The sequence below is a fragment of the Homo sapiens genome, chromosome 13 (assembly GCF_000001405.40).
Source record: "Homo sapiens chromosome 13, GRCh38.p14 Primary Assembly".
NCBI classification, from domain to species: domain Eukaryota; kingdom Metazoa; phylum Chordata; class Mammalia; order Primates; family Hominidae; genus Homo; species Homo sapiens.
Genome location: NC_000013.11, coordinates 56,257,748 through 56,274,795, shown reverse-complemented (window position 1 = coordinate 56,274,795; position 17,048 = coordinate 56,257,748). Strand labels below are relative to the sequence as shown.

At 34.5% G+C, this 17,048-nt stretch overlaps 1 long non-coding RNA gene across 2 annotated transcripts in view; it reads left to right on the top strand.

Annotated features, from left to right (window-relative positions):
• LOC105370214 (uncharacterized) overlaps positions 1-16,480 on the top strand; it is a 477,307-nt gene extending 460,827 nt beyond the window's left edge. The window contains exons 1-3 of one of the 2 annotated variants that reach the window (XR_941979.3): positions 3,052-3,144; positions 14,649-14,846; positions 16,215-16,480. This is a non-coding gene — a long non-coding RNA (uncharacterized LOC105370214). Of the gene's footprint in view, positions 1-3,051; positions 3,145-14,648; positions 14,847-16,214 lie in introns of those variants that run through there. The other variant, XR_941977.3, reaches the window with a different exon arrangement.
• The last annotated feature ends 568 nt before the right edge of the window (positions 16,481-17,048 follow it).

Sequence of the window (17,048 nt, the reverse complement as noted above, 5' to 3'; positions counted from 1 at the left end):
GTGAAACCCCATCTCTACTAAAACAATACAAAAAAATTAGCCGGACATGCCTGTAATCCCGGCTATTTGGGAGGCTGAGGCTGGAGAGTCTCTTGGACTAGGGAGGCGGAGGTTTTAGTGAGCCGAGATTACACTGCTGCACTTCAGCCTGGGCAACAGGAGGGAAAACTCTGTCTCAAAAAAAAAAAAAAAAAAAAAAAGAGAAGGGGCATGGTGGCTCACGCCTGTAATCTCAGAAGTTTGGGAAGCCAAGGCTGGTGGATCACTTGAGTTCAGGAGTTCGAGACCAACCTGACCAACATGGTGAAACTCCGTCTCTACTAAAAATACAAAATTAGCCCAACGTGGTGGTGCACGCCTGTAATCCCAGCTACTCGGGAGGCTGAGGCAAAAGACTCACTTGAACCCTGGAGCCAGAGTTTGCCATGAGCCAAGATCACACCATTGCACTCCAGTCTGGGCAAGAAGAGTGAAGTGTCTCAAAAAAAAAAAAAAAAGAGAAAAGAAAAGAAAGAAAGAAAAAAGAAATATACTAAAACATAGTTCTTTCAATATGTCCTTTTTTGTATATTTTCCTATTAGAAGCACAGTCTCTGGGAGTAGTAGTTTAAACATGATAAATTATTTGTCCAATCAAGGGTCCGCTTATCAGCTATAATCTCTGTGTCCCTATGTTGCATGCAAATCATAAAGAAATAATCAAGTCTACTTTTCTCAGAAAGATAAATTGGAGGAAAAAATTCACAAAACCTCTAAGAATTTATTGCCTGCTTAGTGTTACTTCTCACCTCAAATAATAAACTTAAATACGGCAAATATAATTCACAACAAATTCCATTGATCAGCCTGGGATATTCTCAACAGCCAACTGACTGAGACTGACTTTCAGACTTTAAAACAGACTGTGACAACACTGCTCTCCGGGGTCCTGTTCATATTACCTTTAATTTTGTTTTACTGATTTATTTTCTTCTACTCTGCAACTTAAACTGGGACTTTAAACTAAATCATACATATAATATACATGTAAGATCTTATATTTGTTTAATTTCAGAGTCCATGCCTAAGTTTCAGAGGGGTTAAGTGAGAAGTCTAAAGTTAGAAAGTTATGGTGTGATTGAGATTGAACTTAAACAAGATAGCTTGAACACCCAACCAACAAAATAACTATCTGATAAAATGCCATTTGTTTGCTTAGTGACAACTTTATATTAAATAAATAATATAATGAAATATATTTGGAATAAAATATTAGACAAACTACTGGCTTAGATGAAAGCATATTACGGTTGGCTCTTTGTATATTCAGGCAGTTGTTTCCAGGACTTCTGGAATATATCAAAATCCATGCATACACAAGTTCTGCAGTCAGTCCTGTAGAACCCATATATAAGAAAAGATGACCCTCATGGGCAAAGATTTCATGATGCCAAAAGCAATGTCAACAAAAGCAAAAATCGACAAATGGTATCGAATTAAATCAAGGAGCTTCTGTACAGCAAAATAAACTATAAATAGAATAAACAACTTACAGAATGGGAGAAAATTTTTGCAAACTATGCATTGAGAAAGGTCTATATCTAGCATCTGTAAGACACAAGGAAAAAGTCAAACAATTCTTTAAAAAGGGGGCAAGGGACACGAACAGACACTTCAAAAGAAGACATACATTCCTTGAATACTCTATTTTCCATCCATCTTTTGTTGAAAAAAAACCCCACATTTAAGTGGGCCCATGCAATTCAAATCCATGTTGTTCAAGGTTCAAATGTACTTGCAAGCCCTGAATATTCGTAAGTTTGCTTTTGTGGCTGACCGCCACAGTTACTACTTGAGACTGTCACTACAGCAGTTACTACTGTTACTGCTTGAGACCATCATTACAGCAGTTACTATTGTTACTGCTTGAGACCGTATTATGACTGAATGAAGGGAGGAATGCAGAAATGATAACAAAGAAACGAGAGAAACTGTTTTAAGGAAAGGCTAGCATGGGGAAGAATAAGAGAGCTCCCTGCTTCTAGTGAGTAAAGGCAGCCCACCTTGAGCTTCCACAGCCCTTTGGATTTATTGGGTAATAAGAGCAAGGAGGAGGAGGTAACGATTGGTCAGCTGCTTAAATGATCACAGGTTCATTATTGACAGGCTTCAGATGTACCTAATCACAAGAAACATTTGTGTGGCCTCCAACATCTCCTTTTTGTTTTTAAATTAATTGAGCAAGGCAATTGCAGGCTGTGCACCCCTTAATTGCCAGTTGGTTATCCAGCTTCATTTTTCTTAGCCCTTATTCAAAATGGAGTCACTCTGGTTTGAATGCTTCTTACATATTTCCCCCTTCCCTTTTGCAAGAGGACCCTTAATCCTAAGGGCTGCAGAAGGATGAAGGTCTGTCTCCTGCAACTTCTTCATGCTGAATAGGGGCGATGATATTCCTGCCTAACTATTAGGGTCTCTTGTATTCAGCGTAGAGAGGAGCTCAGTCAAAAATCATCGGTCTGTTAAGCATCGATTGTACCTCTGAGTTCCAGCAAAAGGTGAAACCCCGGTGCTCCAGCAGTTTCTCAGCTTCCTGTATGGTTTTCTTGATCTGTCCCCATGGTACCTGTTAGTTCCTGCAAGTCCCTGTCTGCTCCTACCTATCTGTACTTCCTTATCTCTATTTATCTCTACTTATCTCTACTTATTTCTTATTGTCCCTGCAGGCCTCTTCAGGTCCCTTCAGGTCTCTGTCCCTGATAGTCCCTTCAAGTTTCTGCTAGTATTTGCTAGTCTCTGCTAGTCTCTACTTTTGTACCTCTTTAGGGCACTGACCTTATATTGCTAGTCTTTGCTAGTCTTTATCCCTATCTGTCCCTGTCTGTCCCTATTCATCCCTGTTTGGGCACCACTTGTGGCTAACTGCCATGGTTACTGCTTGAGACCATCATTACAGCAGTTACTACTGTTACTGCTAGAGAACGTCATTATGACTGAACAAAGGGACAAACACAGAAATGATAACAAAGAGGCAAAAGAAACAGTTTAAAGGAAAGGCTAGCATGGACAAGAAGAGCACTCCCTGCTTCTAGTGAGCAAAGGCAGCCCCCCTTGAGCTTCTATAGCCCTTCTTATTTATTGGGTAACAAGAGCAAGGAGGAGGAGGTAACGATTAGTCAGCTGCTTAATTGATCACAGGTTCATATTGTTACTGACAGGCTTCAGATGTGCCTAATCACAAGAAACATTTGTGCGGCCTCCAACATGCTTTCATTGTGTAATATAAGTAGAATTCAAGGAAGTCTGTTGATGTTTTATATTTTCTATTCATAATGGCATATTTTCTTAAAGGATTTAATTTAGAATCATCTTGATGAAGAGAAACACAGATTGAATTACATACATTAACTCCGTTTAGGCATATTTCAAGTCAAAATTTTTAAATGATAATTAAGATGACTTAGTGTTTATGCTTTTGTTTTATTTCAGTATATAAGGAACAATGTTTTTAGGATTTCTTTTTTCTTTTTTCAGATGGAGTCTCACTCTGTCCCAGGCTGGAGTGCAATGGTGTGTCCTCGGCTCACTGCAAGCTCCACCTCCTGGGTTCAAGGGATTCTCCTGCCTCAGCCTTTCCAGTAGCTGGGATTACAGGTGCATGCTACCACACCCAGCTGATGTTTGTATTTTTAGTAGAGACAGAGTTTCACCATGTTGGCCAGGCTTGTCTCAAACTTCTGACCTCATGATCTGATGGCCTTGGCCTCCCGAAGTGCTGGGATTACAGGTGTGAGCCACCGATCCCAGTCACGTTTTTAGGATTTCTAAAATAGAAAGAAAAAAACAGAAAGGCAAGAGAGAATTCATGATTCTCTGAGCAAGGTAATAGTGAAGGATTACTAATTATAAATGCATAGCCATTCCACAAAAGCCCATATTAGAAAACAGCATATCATTCATAATAACCCATAAAAAGTAAATTAAACAAACATTGTATGGCAGAAAATCATAATTTTGGTCAGTGAAAATAATATGTAATATAAATATACTCTGTGTAATACTGAAATAGCAATAGGGCATGCCCAATAAAGTAAATTTTCTCTGTTTAATGGTTGGACAAATTTTCCTAATTATTGAATTATGCACTTTATATAAATATATAAAAATATTTTATTTATTATCTAGATAAATTATATATATAGTATAGTTACATATACTTATTATTTATATGGTGATATATAATCCCAACAAACAGGATATGAGAGAGAATAGTGTTTCATTTTTATTAACTAGAAATATCATAATTTGACATATTACTCTAAGCAAGAATCACACTTTTGTTCCTCATGCATCAAAGAAAGCATTTTATAATTTGAGTAACCCAGATGCCATTTGAATAAAAGATGATGTAGGGAACAAAAGACACTTCACACAGAAATTAAATAATTTCAGAACACTAGAGGTTATACATGATATCTAATAGAAGCCTCTTAGTATATGGATGAGGGAACTGACTCAGTGAGACTGTGTGGCCTGATTAGACAATTCATCTGTATATTGGCAGAGCCATACTTGAGTGGAAGAATTTTTATTCTGAAATTCTATCAAAATATAATTATCATTTATATGTCTAATTCGTATGAAAGGTATGAATTACTACATTAAAGGATAAATCTTATTGATGCACTTAACAAATGTATAAATATGCCTGAAATGGTTTCCTCTGTCTAGCAAATTTAAAAGTTGATATTTTCCATAATCCTATTAATTTTTAAGATAGCTTTTTATTGTTTATTCCCCAATTCTGAACAGGGGATTTATAATGGCAAACAAAATTCAGGATCATCTATAACATGATTTTAAATTGCTAGTGGGTCCTAGTGGAAATTCATGGAATTTTTTTTGTTAAATCTGTTTCAGTGAAATCGTCATGCCATATGACCTTCTTATTTTTGAAATCTGGGTACCAAGGAAAATCCAAAGATTGGAACTAACTGGCTAAAAATCAAACTAATTGGGAATACTTTAGCCATAACTTAGTAGTCGTTTTTTCTATCATGCTGTCTTACTAAAATCAAACGTCACTGAACATGGTGATTTATTCATTCATTTACCCAATACATTTATTTATAGAACCATCAAGTTTTTCTTCAGTGTATATGATGGTCCTTGCATTGTTCTAAAAAATGGGATCTATAGGGCAGTTTTTCTGACTTTCAAAACCTACATTTCACTAGGATGAATAAGTGATATACCGAAAAAATTAATCAAATATATTATGATACCCATATACAATGACACATATACACGCATATATTAAAGTGCAAAGGTAATTCCTTTTTATAATGTAGTGCTTGAGTTGATTCCTTTACAAAAACATGAACCTGAAAATGCATCAAGTTAAATGATAGTTTCTGAGTGGTAGTTGGAGAAAATCGTGTACTGAGGTCTTCAGGAATCAGAGAGCATGCTGTGGTGCAGATGCTGCTTAAAGATATAAACCTAGAAATATGAAGACTTTAAATACTGTGAGGTAGAATGGAAGATCCAATATACATCTAACATGAGTTTCTAAAGAAGTCAATTTTTTCAAATAAGGAGAGTCAGTGTACAAAAAGATCATACTAGGCAGAATAATGATATCCCAAAGATGTTCACATTGTACTTCCTGGAACCTGGGACTAGTTACCTGTTATGGCAAAAGAAACTTTGAAGATTTGATGATGGATACAGAAGTTGAAATGATGAAAATATCCTAGATTATCATGGCAGTTACAGTCTAATGACGTAAGTCTTTAAAACCAGAAAACATTTGCCAACCATGCTTAGAGGAGATACAAAGGTTTAAAGAGATGCTACGTTATAAGGACTTGACCCGTGCTTGCTGGCACTGAAGATGGAGAAAGGAGGCAATAAACCAAGGTAGGCAGATGCCTCTAGAAACTAGAGAATATTCCCTGAGTTTACAACCAATAAGAAAATGGAAAACTTGGTCCTACAGTGACCAGGAACTGAATTCTACCAGCAACCTTAAATGCATGAAGAAATGACTTCATATCTACAGCCTCTAGAAAGGAAAGCAGCTCTACCAACATTTTGATTTTAGGCAATGTCAGACTTCTGACCAAGAGAATTGTAAGATAATATATTTGTGCTGCTTTAATTTGTGAAATTTATGGTAATTTGTTATGGCAACAATAAAAACTAATACAAAGTTAATACCCCAAAACTAAGGTATAGTATAGCTAACCAAATGATTATATGGCATAAAGTTATAAAGCAAGAATTTACTCCAGAAACCTCAAAGCAGGGTTCTTTATCTTAATAATCTACATTATAGTAGTAACTACGTCCCTGAAGAGTATACATTGCTTTTTAATAACTAAAAATATTTTTCAAATGTTATCTACAACTATATTTCCCATGAAAGTCTCAATGTGAAAATTGTAAAAGCTGCACTTTTTCTAGAAAACAATAAAAAAATTATAATTTTAAATACTTTTAAATACCAAATATAAAAAATATAAAAATATATTTTCTCAAAGATAATGTTTGGAAAAGTAGTAATCAAAGTTATAATTACATGTAATTAGTGATTTATTAGAAGTGATTACCATTGAGGGAACTTACTTGATTGAAAAGGCAGACCTACTCTGCTTTAAAAAAATAAAATTTATAATATTGGTATTAAATAATTTTAATACATAGTGGGCACAAAAACACTTGAATTCTCTCTAAGCCAGAATTGAAATAAGAAATTAAGTAAAAGGCTCAATTAGCCTTTTAAGAGCTCTAAGTTGGACTATTAATATCCAAGAAGGATAGTCTTTGGCTTTTGGGCTAATATAGGCAGGGCATTTTTATCATCTCCATTTATGTATAAAGGTAGTAAACTAAAATTTTTGACCCTAAAATATCTCCACATCAGTGAAAGGACACTAAAAAAGTCTGTCCAACTGTCCAGAAAATTACAATAAATTGTGCTGTGTCCTACATACGGGGCTTAGATAAAAGGTGATATTCAGTAGTGGCTATGAATTACATATTTGTATGTTTTTGAATAGCTCAAGCTGAGAGATAATGTTAAAATGATCCCAAATAAGAAATATTCCTAAAATGTTGATTAGAATCAATTTATACAACTAAGTGCTGGCATTTCTATAACCCCAGGACCCAATTAAGTAAGCTTTAGCTGTGTTCATTTAAAAAAATAGAATTTACTTTTTAGAGAAGTTTTAGGTTCACAGGAAACTTGAGGGGAAAGTACAGATTCCCATATACCTCCTATGTCTACACATGCACAGCTGCTACAACTATCAACCACCTGCACGAGCCCTATATTTATTAAAATTGATGAACCCACATTGACAATTTATTAACACCCAAAGTTCATAGTTTTTATTGAAATTTATACTTGAAATTTTGCATTCTACGGCTCTTGACAAATTTCTCAAGAGACATAACCACTATTATAGTATTATATGGAATAGTTTCATTGTCCTAAAAATCCTCTTCTCTGCCCATTCATCCTTCTTTCTTCCCAGCTCCCGGAAACCATTGATCTTTTAATTGTCTCCATAGTCTTTTCATTTTCAGAATGCCATATAATTGGAATCACATAGTGTATAGTCTTTCTGTGTTGACTTATTTCACTTAGTAACATGCATTTAAGATTCTTCTGTGTCTTTTTATGGCTTGATAGCTCATTTATTTTTGGCAGTGAATAATATTAAATTCTCTGGATGTACCATAGTCTATCCATTTTACTTAGTGAAGGGTATCTTAGTTGCTTCCTAGTTCGGGCAATTATGACTAAGCAGCTATTAATCTAAACATCCTTGTGTGGGTTATTATGTGGACATAAATTTATAACTCCTGTGGGTAAAAACCAAAAACCAAGGAGCAGAATTGCTGGTTCATTTGGTAAGAGTTTATTTAGGTTTTGTATGAATTCTTCCAACTGTTTCTAAAGTGCCTGTATCATTTTGCATTCCCACCAGCAAAGAATTAGAGATTCTGTTGTTCCACATCCTCCTTAGCATTTGTTGTTGTTTTTATTCTATCGGATTTTAGCCATTAAAATAGATGTGTACTGGTATCTCATTGTTTTAATTTGCAACTCCCTATGGCAACTAATATTGAATATCTTTTGTATACTTATATGCCATCTGCATTTTTTTTTGTAAAGAGTCTGTTCAGATTGTTTGCTCATTTCTTAATAAGGTTGTTTGTTTTCTTCTTATTGAGTCTTAAGAGTTCTGTATATATTTTGGATAACAGTTATTTATCAGATGTGTTTTGAAATATTTTATCCAAGTCTGTAGTTGTCTTATCTCTTTTAATAATGTCTTTAACAGAGCAGAAGTTTTTAATTTTAATGAAGTCTACTTTATCAATTATGTTTTTTCATAGATCATGACTTTGGTTTTGTCATCAAAGTTTAAAAAATTAAATGCCAAATCCAAGTTTATCTGGGTTTCTCCTATGTCATCTTCCAGAATTTTAAAGTTTTGCCTTTTACATTTTGGTTTATGACCCATTTTGTAGGCAGAATAAGGTCTGCGTCTAGATTCTTTTTTTTTTTTTTTTTTTTTGCATGTGGATGTCTTTATTTTAGCATCATTTTGTGAAAATAATATTTTTCCCCCAATGTATTGCTTTCACTCTTTTTTGTCCAAGATCAATTGTCTACATTTTTGTGATTCTATTTCTTGGCTTTCTATTCTGTTCCATTGATTATCTGTTCGTCTATTTTTTTTGTTTTTTTGTTTTTTTTTTAGGTGGAGTCTTGCTCTGTCACCAAGGCTGGAGTGCAATGGTGTGATCTCGGCTCACTGCAACCTCTGCCTCCTGGGTTCAAGCGTTTCCCCTGCCTCAGCCTCCCAAGTAGCTGGAACTACAGGAGCATGCCACTACGCTCTGCTAATTTTTGTATTTTTAGTACAGACATGGTTTCACCATCTTGGTCTGGCTAATTTTTGTTATTTTTAGTAGAGGTGAGGCTTTACCATGTTGGCCAGGCTGGTTTCAAACTCCTGACCCCAGGTGATCCACCTGCCTTGGCCTCCCAAAGTTCTGGGATTACAGGCGGGAGCCACCACACCTGGCCTATTTGTCTATTCATTAGCCAATATCACGCTATCTTTAATACTATAGCTTTAAAAGAAGACTTGAAATCAGGTAGTGTAAATTATTCGATTTTATTTGACCAGTTCAATATTGCATTTACTATTCTGGGATTTTTGCATGTTTCTATAAACTGTGTTATCAGTTTGTTGGTATCCACAAACAACATTCTGTGATTTTGATTGGAATTAAATTGAATATGTAGATAAAATTAGAAAGAACTGACATCGTGACAATATTGAGATTGCTTATTCATGGACACAGGCTAGCCCTTAATTTATTCAGATCTTCCGTTTTGTTCTGATTAGAATTTAGTAGATTTTCTAATATAAATTTTGTATGTATTTTGGGGATGTTTTACCTAAATATTTTACTTTGGAGATGCTAATATAAATAATATTGTGATTTTAATTTTTAATTCCAATTTCCAATTGCTAGGATATCAATATATTTAGTGCCACTAAAACCCAACAATGACACAATTGATTATTAATGTCAGAAAACATAGTAAACAATGGAAGTACTTCAATGAATGAAGATTAAATATAATAAAAACTAAAATACATATTTGTGCTAGTAATAAAAATACACAGAAATTTTAAAAATAATAAAACAAAGTTTATAGAAAATATAGTTATTATAATTAAAGGTCAATGTATAGGTCACATAGCACATTTTACATAAGTATATGTAGAATTAATGCTCTATAAGAAAGATCTAAAGGAGAAAAATTGAAAAAAATTGAAAAAAATGGAAGGTAAAATATGAATAGGAAAATATAAAATAGAAAAGTAGGCTTGAGCATCATGCCCAGCGATCATCTTTTCAACCTGGTAGTCACAAGTGGCTTAAGTGGATGGTAATTGAATGAAAGGTATAGATTCTAAGATTCAAGCCATGTAATTGATTTACATGTATATAGCATTACAATCAAAACTACAACACATCATAATAAAACGTTAGAAGAGCAAAGAAAACAGAAATCATAAAAAAGTTAAAAAGATAAATAATATTTCTTAAACCCTAAAAATATGTTTCTCATGAACAAAAATAAATATCATAAGTCAATATAATTAGGTTCTTATAATATTTCAGAGGAGGTAGAAATGATGATTACATTTAAACATTATCAAGTTAAAATGCACGTTAAATTATTTAGGTAATCAGATGTCTGGCTTCACCTCAGGGAGCAGAAAGCTACAAAGAGACATTTTCATATCCTAACATGAAAAACCTGGATAATCTATAAAGCCATAAGTTTTCTTGAACTCACTGGGGTGTCAAGATTCCAAGAAAATACACTAGCCTGAAATCTAAGGGAGTTCAAGATAGGCATAAGCAGTGGCTCATTTGTGACAGTAAGAGACAATAGAAGTCTCACTTCAAGTAGGTAAGAAGAATCCAATTAAAATGTTTAACGAATTTGTAAAGACTGAATAGAACCCTTAAAAGCGGCAGACATAAGAGGAACTCACAATCACTTGCAGCCTACAAGTTCCCTGGACCTGACCAGGTATGTATGATGAAAACTGGGAGAAGGGAGGGAGACCAGAGAATATCCCTACTGGAAGTTTTGGCCAGGAGGAGTGCTTGAAAATATATATAGTTCTACCTGTGCCCTTTTCCTCTCAGGAACAAAAGTCCTGAGCCACTGGGGAAGAATAGCAAACTCTTTTACCCTGATGACACAAATGAAGGTCTACAATGGGGGAAGGACAAGCAAAGTGGCGAAAATGTCCCTCCACCCCTGGGAATGTAGCAGAAACATTTCCTGGGCCCAAACCACAATTTTTAACAGTGAGAGAAGGCCACAACCTGAGACTTGGGGTCACAAAGCCTGCCTGAGGCGGGGCAAACCAAGAGAAGAGAGAACACTTCTACCCCAAAAAACTGCAATGGCAACACGTGGGAACTGGAAATAGGAGCCTATTATTAGAGGAAGGAGCAAGGGTATGAAGGGTATTTAGTCAGGTGCTTTCTAAGGTGCAGTTTTAAAACTTAGGTTGAAGAAGAACAGTGAAGAAGACCCTCTGGCAAACCAGTGTGTATCCTAAGCCCAAGGTAACACTAGAGGAATAACATCCAATGTTCCACTGAAGCTTGCAACAAGAAAATGTAAAGACAGCTCTACTGTGGATTAGATTCAATCAAACACCGGTGTCAATGACCTAGTAGTCAAAGAGAAGTAACCACTAAAATCCAGAAAGTATTCACTTGTGTCTCTCTTGTTCTATATAAAATGTGTCAAAATCAGTCAAGAATTATGATACATGTAAGAGCAATTAATTGAACCAGACTCCAAAGTTACTCAAATATTGAAATTATCAGGCTGGGAATTTAAAATACTGTAATATACAAAAGGCTCTAGTGGAAAAGATTTACAACAAACAACAGGTAGGGAATTTCAGAAAATGAACTATACAAAAGTGTCAAAAGTTAAGCTTAAAACAACAGCAAAAGCAACCTGGTAACAGAAACAAAGATTTATTTTAACAGGCTCATCAGTAGACTTGACAGAATTGTGGAAAGAGTAAGTGAAAAGTTAATTTAAAAAACAATAAAAGGGCCAGGCACAGTGGCTCACGCCTGTATCCCAGCACTTTGGGAGGCCAAAGCGGGTGGATCACTTGAGGTCAAGAGTTCAAGACCAACCTGGCCAACATGGTGAAACCCCTGTCTCTACTAAAAATACAAAATTAGCTGGGCATGGTGGCACGTGCCTGTAACCCCAGCTACTCGGGAGGCTGAGGCAGGAGAATCGCTTGAATCTAGAAGGTGGAGGTTGCAGTGAGCCAAGATCATGCCACTGCACTCCAGCCTGAGCAACAGAGTGAGACCCTGCCTCAAAAAATAAAAACAAACAAACAAAAACAATAAAAAGCCAAATTGAAAGACAAAAAGAAATGAGAATAATAAAAAACCCCAGAGCATCCAAGAGATGTGCGGCAATATTAAATGGTCTAAGATATACACAATGGAAATCCCAAAAAAACACACACAAAATAGAATAAATATTTGAAGAAACAAAGGCCATTTTTTAAGAATAATGAAAATCATAAAAATACCTCAAGCAGAATAAGTACTTTCAACAAAATGTATCAAGAGACATAACATTCTAAATGTTGAAAATTCAAGATAAATTAAATCTATTGCAAGCAATAAAAAAGAAATAAAGATGGGAAACACAGCAGATTATATACACAAATAAATATAAGAAGTATAGCAAAATTCTTACTTTAAAAGTACTGGAAGACAGGGTATTGGAATATATAAAATAAAACAAACAAACAACACAACAGCAAAAAAACTGTGCTAACCCAAAAAAATATATATTTCTTTTTTTTTTTTTTTTTTTGAGACGGAGTCTCACTCTGTCGCCCAGGCTGGAGTGCAGTGGCACCATCTTGGCTCACTGCAAGCTCTACCATCCGGGTTCACGCCATTCTCCTGCCTCAGCCTCCCAAGTAGCTGGGACTACAGGTGCCCGCCACCATGCCCAGATAATTTTTTTGTATTTTTAGTAGAGACGGGGTTTCACCGTATTAGCCAGGATGGTCTTGATCTCCTAACCTCGTGATCAGCCCGCCTCAGCCACCCAAAGTGCTGGGATTACAGGCGTGAGCCACTGCGCCCCGCCAAGAAAATATATTTCAAACGTGAATGAAAAATATATTTTCTCCTTCAAAAATGAAAAAATTTATTACCAGTAGACCTAGGTTACAAAAAACTTAAAAGAAGTTATCATGGCAGAAGTAACATGATTATAATTAAGAACTTGCTTCTGCAGAAAAAAAGAAAAAAGATAATTCCTGACAATAGATGAAATAAATGTAAACAAAAAAGCTTTTAATAAATTATTATTTTGAATCTCTAAAAAAATTGGGATTAAAATTTATTCAGATCTAATTGATTTTTCTGGAGATTTTAGTGTTTATTCCATAAATGTTTTATGTAATTATTAATATATTTGATTGCTTTGCCTTTAATCCCTTTTTGTTATTTTGTTCTCTTGTTCCTCCTTTTTGAACTCATTTGGATTGAGTATTTTATTAGTATTCTACTTATTTTATTTTTATTTACATCGAAATATTTTAGTTATCTGTAGAACTGCTAATCATGTAGAAACTACTCAGCTATATCAGAAGCAAGATTTACTTGTTAAACTGACAGAAGGTTAAGCCCTCACAGTTTATTATGTTGCCTTGTTCCTGTATTCCACCGGAATGTAATTAAGTTAGAAAAAGGCAAAATAAAGAAGTGGTATGTGTGTTTGGAGTGATGAGTGAGAAGGTGGATGGAGGAGCTGGTGTGAATGTAAGAAGATATTAGTTATAATTGGCTTTACGGAATAAATGACAATAAAAATGCCCCGCATATGCTTGTCCTCCATCCTAAAGACTGCTTACACTTACAGATAAATTATAAAGCCTTACTTATACGAATATTAAAATGTTATTTTTAATTTTTTTTTTTGAAATTTATGCATTCCTATTATCATAGTCAAAGTGTCATGGCTTGTAAGATTGGTGGTAGGATTTTCTAAAATGTAGTGTTTGCTACATTGTCAAATAATTTACATTAATTGCTAATGATTCTCTTTTAAAGGTTGTAAAGAGTAGAATGTAAAATGTTCAGGTTTTAATGAATATACCATACTTCATCTACTCATCAATTCATGAACATTTGAGTTGTTACCATTTTACTCTTAGAAACTTGGATTAAATGTGTGTATATGCACTGATTTTTACTGACAAGCTTTTATTCAGCTCTATCAGTGTTCACATGTTTGTTTTAGGCTGTGTTGGTAAAAGCCTATCCTGTTTGTTTATATTATCAGACAGTCCTCCTCATTCTTCCTTTCTTCCCTTTTGCTCACTGCAGGTTAATTTCTCTTATGGGGTTGTGGTTGGTTTTTATCTTAACAGAAATAACAAGAAGGAAAACTCAATATCTACTCTACTAAATACTGGAGGCTGGAAATGAAGTTGGCGGGGGAATAGAGGGAGGCATGTGTGAAGGAGTCTAATTTCTGGGATGCAGGGAATGCTACAGGGCTCGGTGCCACAAGCACCTTGTGTCCTGAGCCAGTCTCCAGTGCTATGCGCAGTGCTCACTGTGTCTCAATACCTTGTGTTCTGCCCGGCACTCATGTGAAAAACCTGCACACAATTACCAAGGGCCAAGGAGCTGTCTGAGATGCCATGTCCTGTTTGGGAATTGTTTCAAATGAAATCAATGACCCTTCCCTGCATTAAAACAATGTTTTGTTTTGTTTTTACTGTAGAATTTTTTTTATTTGTATGAACTTATGGGACACAAGTGTAATTTTGCTACATTGACATATTGCATAGTGACAAAATCAGGGCTTTTAATGTATGCATCACTGGACTAATGTACATTGTACACATTAAGTAATTTATCATCCACTTCCCTCTCACCCCCAAAGGCTCCATTGTCTATCAGAATGTAAGAATTTTCTATGCTTAAGAAGTTTGTTTGAAGTGGAGTACAAAATTATTTTGTTCACAATGATTCATTTACAGAGTTCTGCAAGGAGATTGGAAGAAAATGTGAGGACTGAGCCCATAAGAATATTTTTCTTTCTGTTTTTATCAGGGGGCATTTTGACTATCAGCATTTTTATTTACTTGCTCTGGCTTTGGCATGATTTGCTATTGGAGAGATATAACAGTATTGTTTTTCTTCTGATGGAGACAAAATATTCATTTATAATCCTGCCGGTAAGTATAATGCAAATAAGTGGCATAGAGGTCAATTAAATTTTGTGCGTTCTTAAATGTCATGAGTAGAGACATATTCAAAATTCAGTAAGTTAATGTTTTGGAGTTCTGTATGTGGGGAGAAACTTATTCCTATAAGAAGTTGCATAGCAATTGCTTTTTAATGAAATTGATGTATACTCTGAATAAGTGAATGTGCTATATTAACTTGTATTTAGCAAATTATATTCAAGGTATTGAAAATACTTTTCTGAAAAGAGGGTATTAAAAATATAGGTACATACCTATAAAAATAAAAAGCGGGTATTTTATTCATTCTTGTTGATACCTTTTTTTAGCAGCATAAACAATTGATAACTGAGTGGCTCTTTTCTCTGTTCTCCTTTAAAAATTTATTATTACTTTCTTTGCGGCTTTTTGATTCCTGACATTTCTTTTTTTCACTTTACAGTGTCAGTTTCTGTCTTATGGTTTTATATTTGGCCAAATTGAAGCTCCTTTCTGTATTATTAATTCTGCACTCTTTAAACTATCTTTGCATTCATCCCTAAGATTTTATTGTTCACTCTTTACCAAAAATTGAAATTTCTATCCCTATAAGCTAATCTCTGCTCTCAAAATTACCTGTATTTATACTTATTTTAATTCCAGTAATGGTCATTTTTGAATAAAATATTCAAAAACATGTATTCTTGATAAAATAACTCTTTTACACTTTTGTTCATTTTCAAACTGAACATTAATGGGACTATATTAAGGTTCAGTAAAAATATGATTAACCTTTTTATTAATTATTTTTCATTTTCATGCTAATTTGAATTATTTGCTAACATGAAAATGTAGAAATAAAATACCAAGGTATTAAATAAATTTACATCTTTAACACTCATTTTATATAAGAAATAAAACTACCCATAATCTACTGAAAATACATCTTCAAAAGATTTTACTCTCATTTAGTAATTTCAATATATTTGGAAAGCATAATATTAAGCCTAACACTTTGCATATTTAGGGTATTCGTTTATGTTTCAGAATTTTTTTGTAGTCAAAGGTCTAGATTCAGAAGCAAAAGATGAAGTTGACATTTCAGTCTCTGTAATCGCCTAGGGTGTTACCATTTATGTCTGGGTAATAGCTGTTGATAAAAGAAATATATACATCTTGGAATCTGCACGAAGTCTGTAAGAGCATTATGCCACCAATACTTTGCCTAGAATTGTGCATCATCAGAGCAGTAACATTTGTAAATTAATGTGTCCTTTTTCAAGGAGCTTTCACAACATCTCCATGAGGTAGTTAAATTTTGCCAGTCTAAGATTAAAAGGATCTGGACCTCACCAACTGATATCTACCTTTTATCCACAGCCCTGCCGCACCCCGCCCCCTTCTGCCACCACCAAGTGATCATCCAGCTGACACTTGAGGAACTTTGATGATGAGGAGTTCATCAGTCATTGGTCAGACTATTAAATCTTTCCACAGCTTAGTGAGTTTATTATAGTTTTCTTGATGCATAATTCTGCCTGCTACAGAGATAGAATTACTTAAGGATGTTTGAAATACAGGTATACCTCAGAGATACTGCAGGTTTGGTTCCAGACCACCATAATAAAGTGAATATAACAATAAAATGAGTCACACAATTTTTTTAGTTTCCCAATGCATGCATATAAAAGGTATGTTTATACTACATGGTAGTCAGTTAAGTATGCAATTGCATTATGTCTATAAAAGAGTACATTCCTTAATTTAAAAATACTTTATTTCTAAAAAAACGTTAACAAACCTCTGAGTCTTTGAAGAGTTGTTATCTTTTTGCTGAGGGAGGCTCTAATTGAGGGGTGCCAACTCATTAAGGTGGTGGTTGCTGAAGGTTGAATGGCTATGGGAATTTTTTAAATGAGCCAACAATAAAATTTAAGACATCAATTGACACTTTTACAAAAATATTTCTGCAGAATGTGATGCTGTTTGATAGGATTTTATTCACTATAAAACATCTTTCAAAATGGGAGTCAATCCTCTCAAAACCTGTTGCTACTTTATTGAATAATTTTATATAATATTCTAAATCCTTTGTTGTCATCTCAACAATGTTTACAGCATCCACACCTGGAGCAAATCTGATCTTAAGAAACCATCTTCTTTACTCACCCACAAAGAGCAAATCTACATCCATTCAAGTTTATCATAAGATTG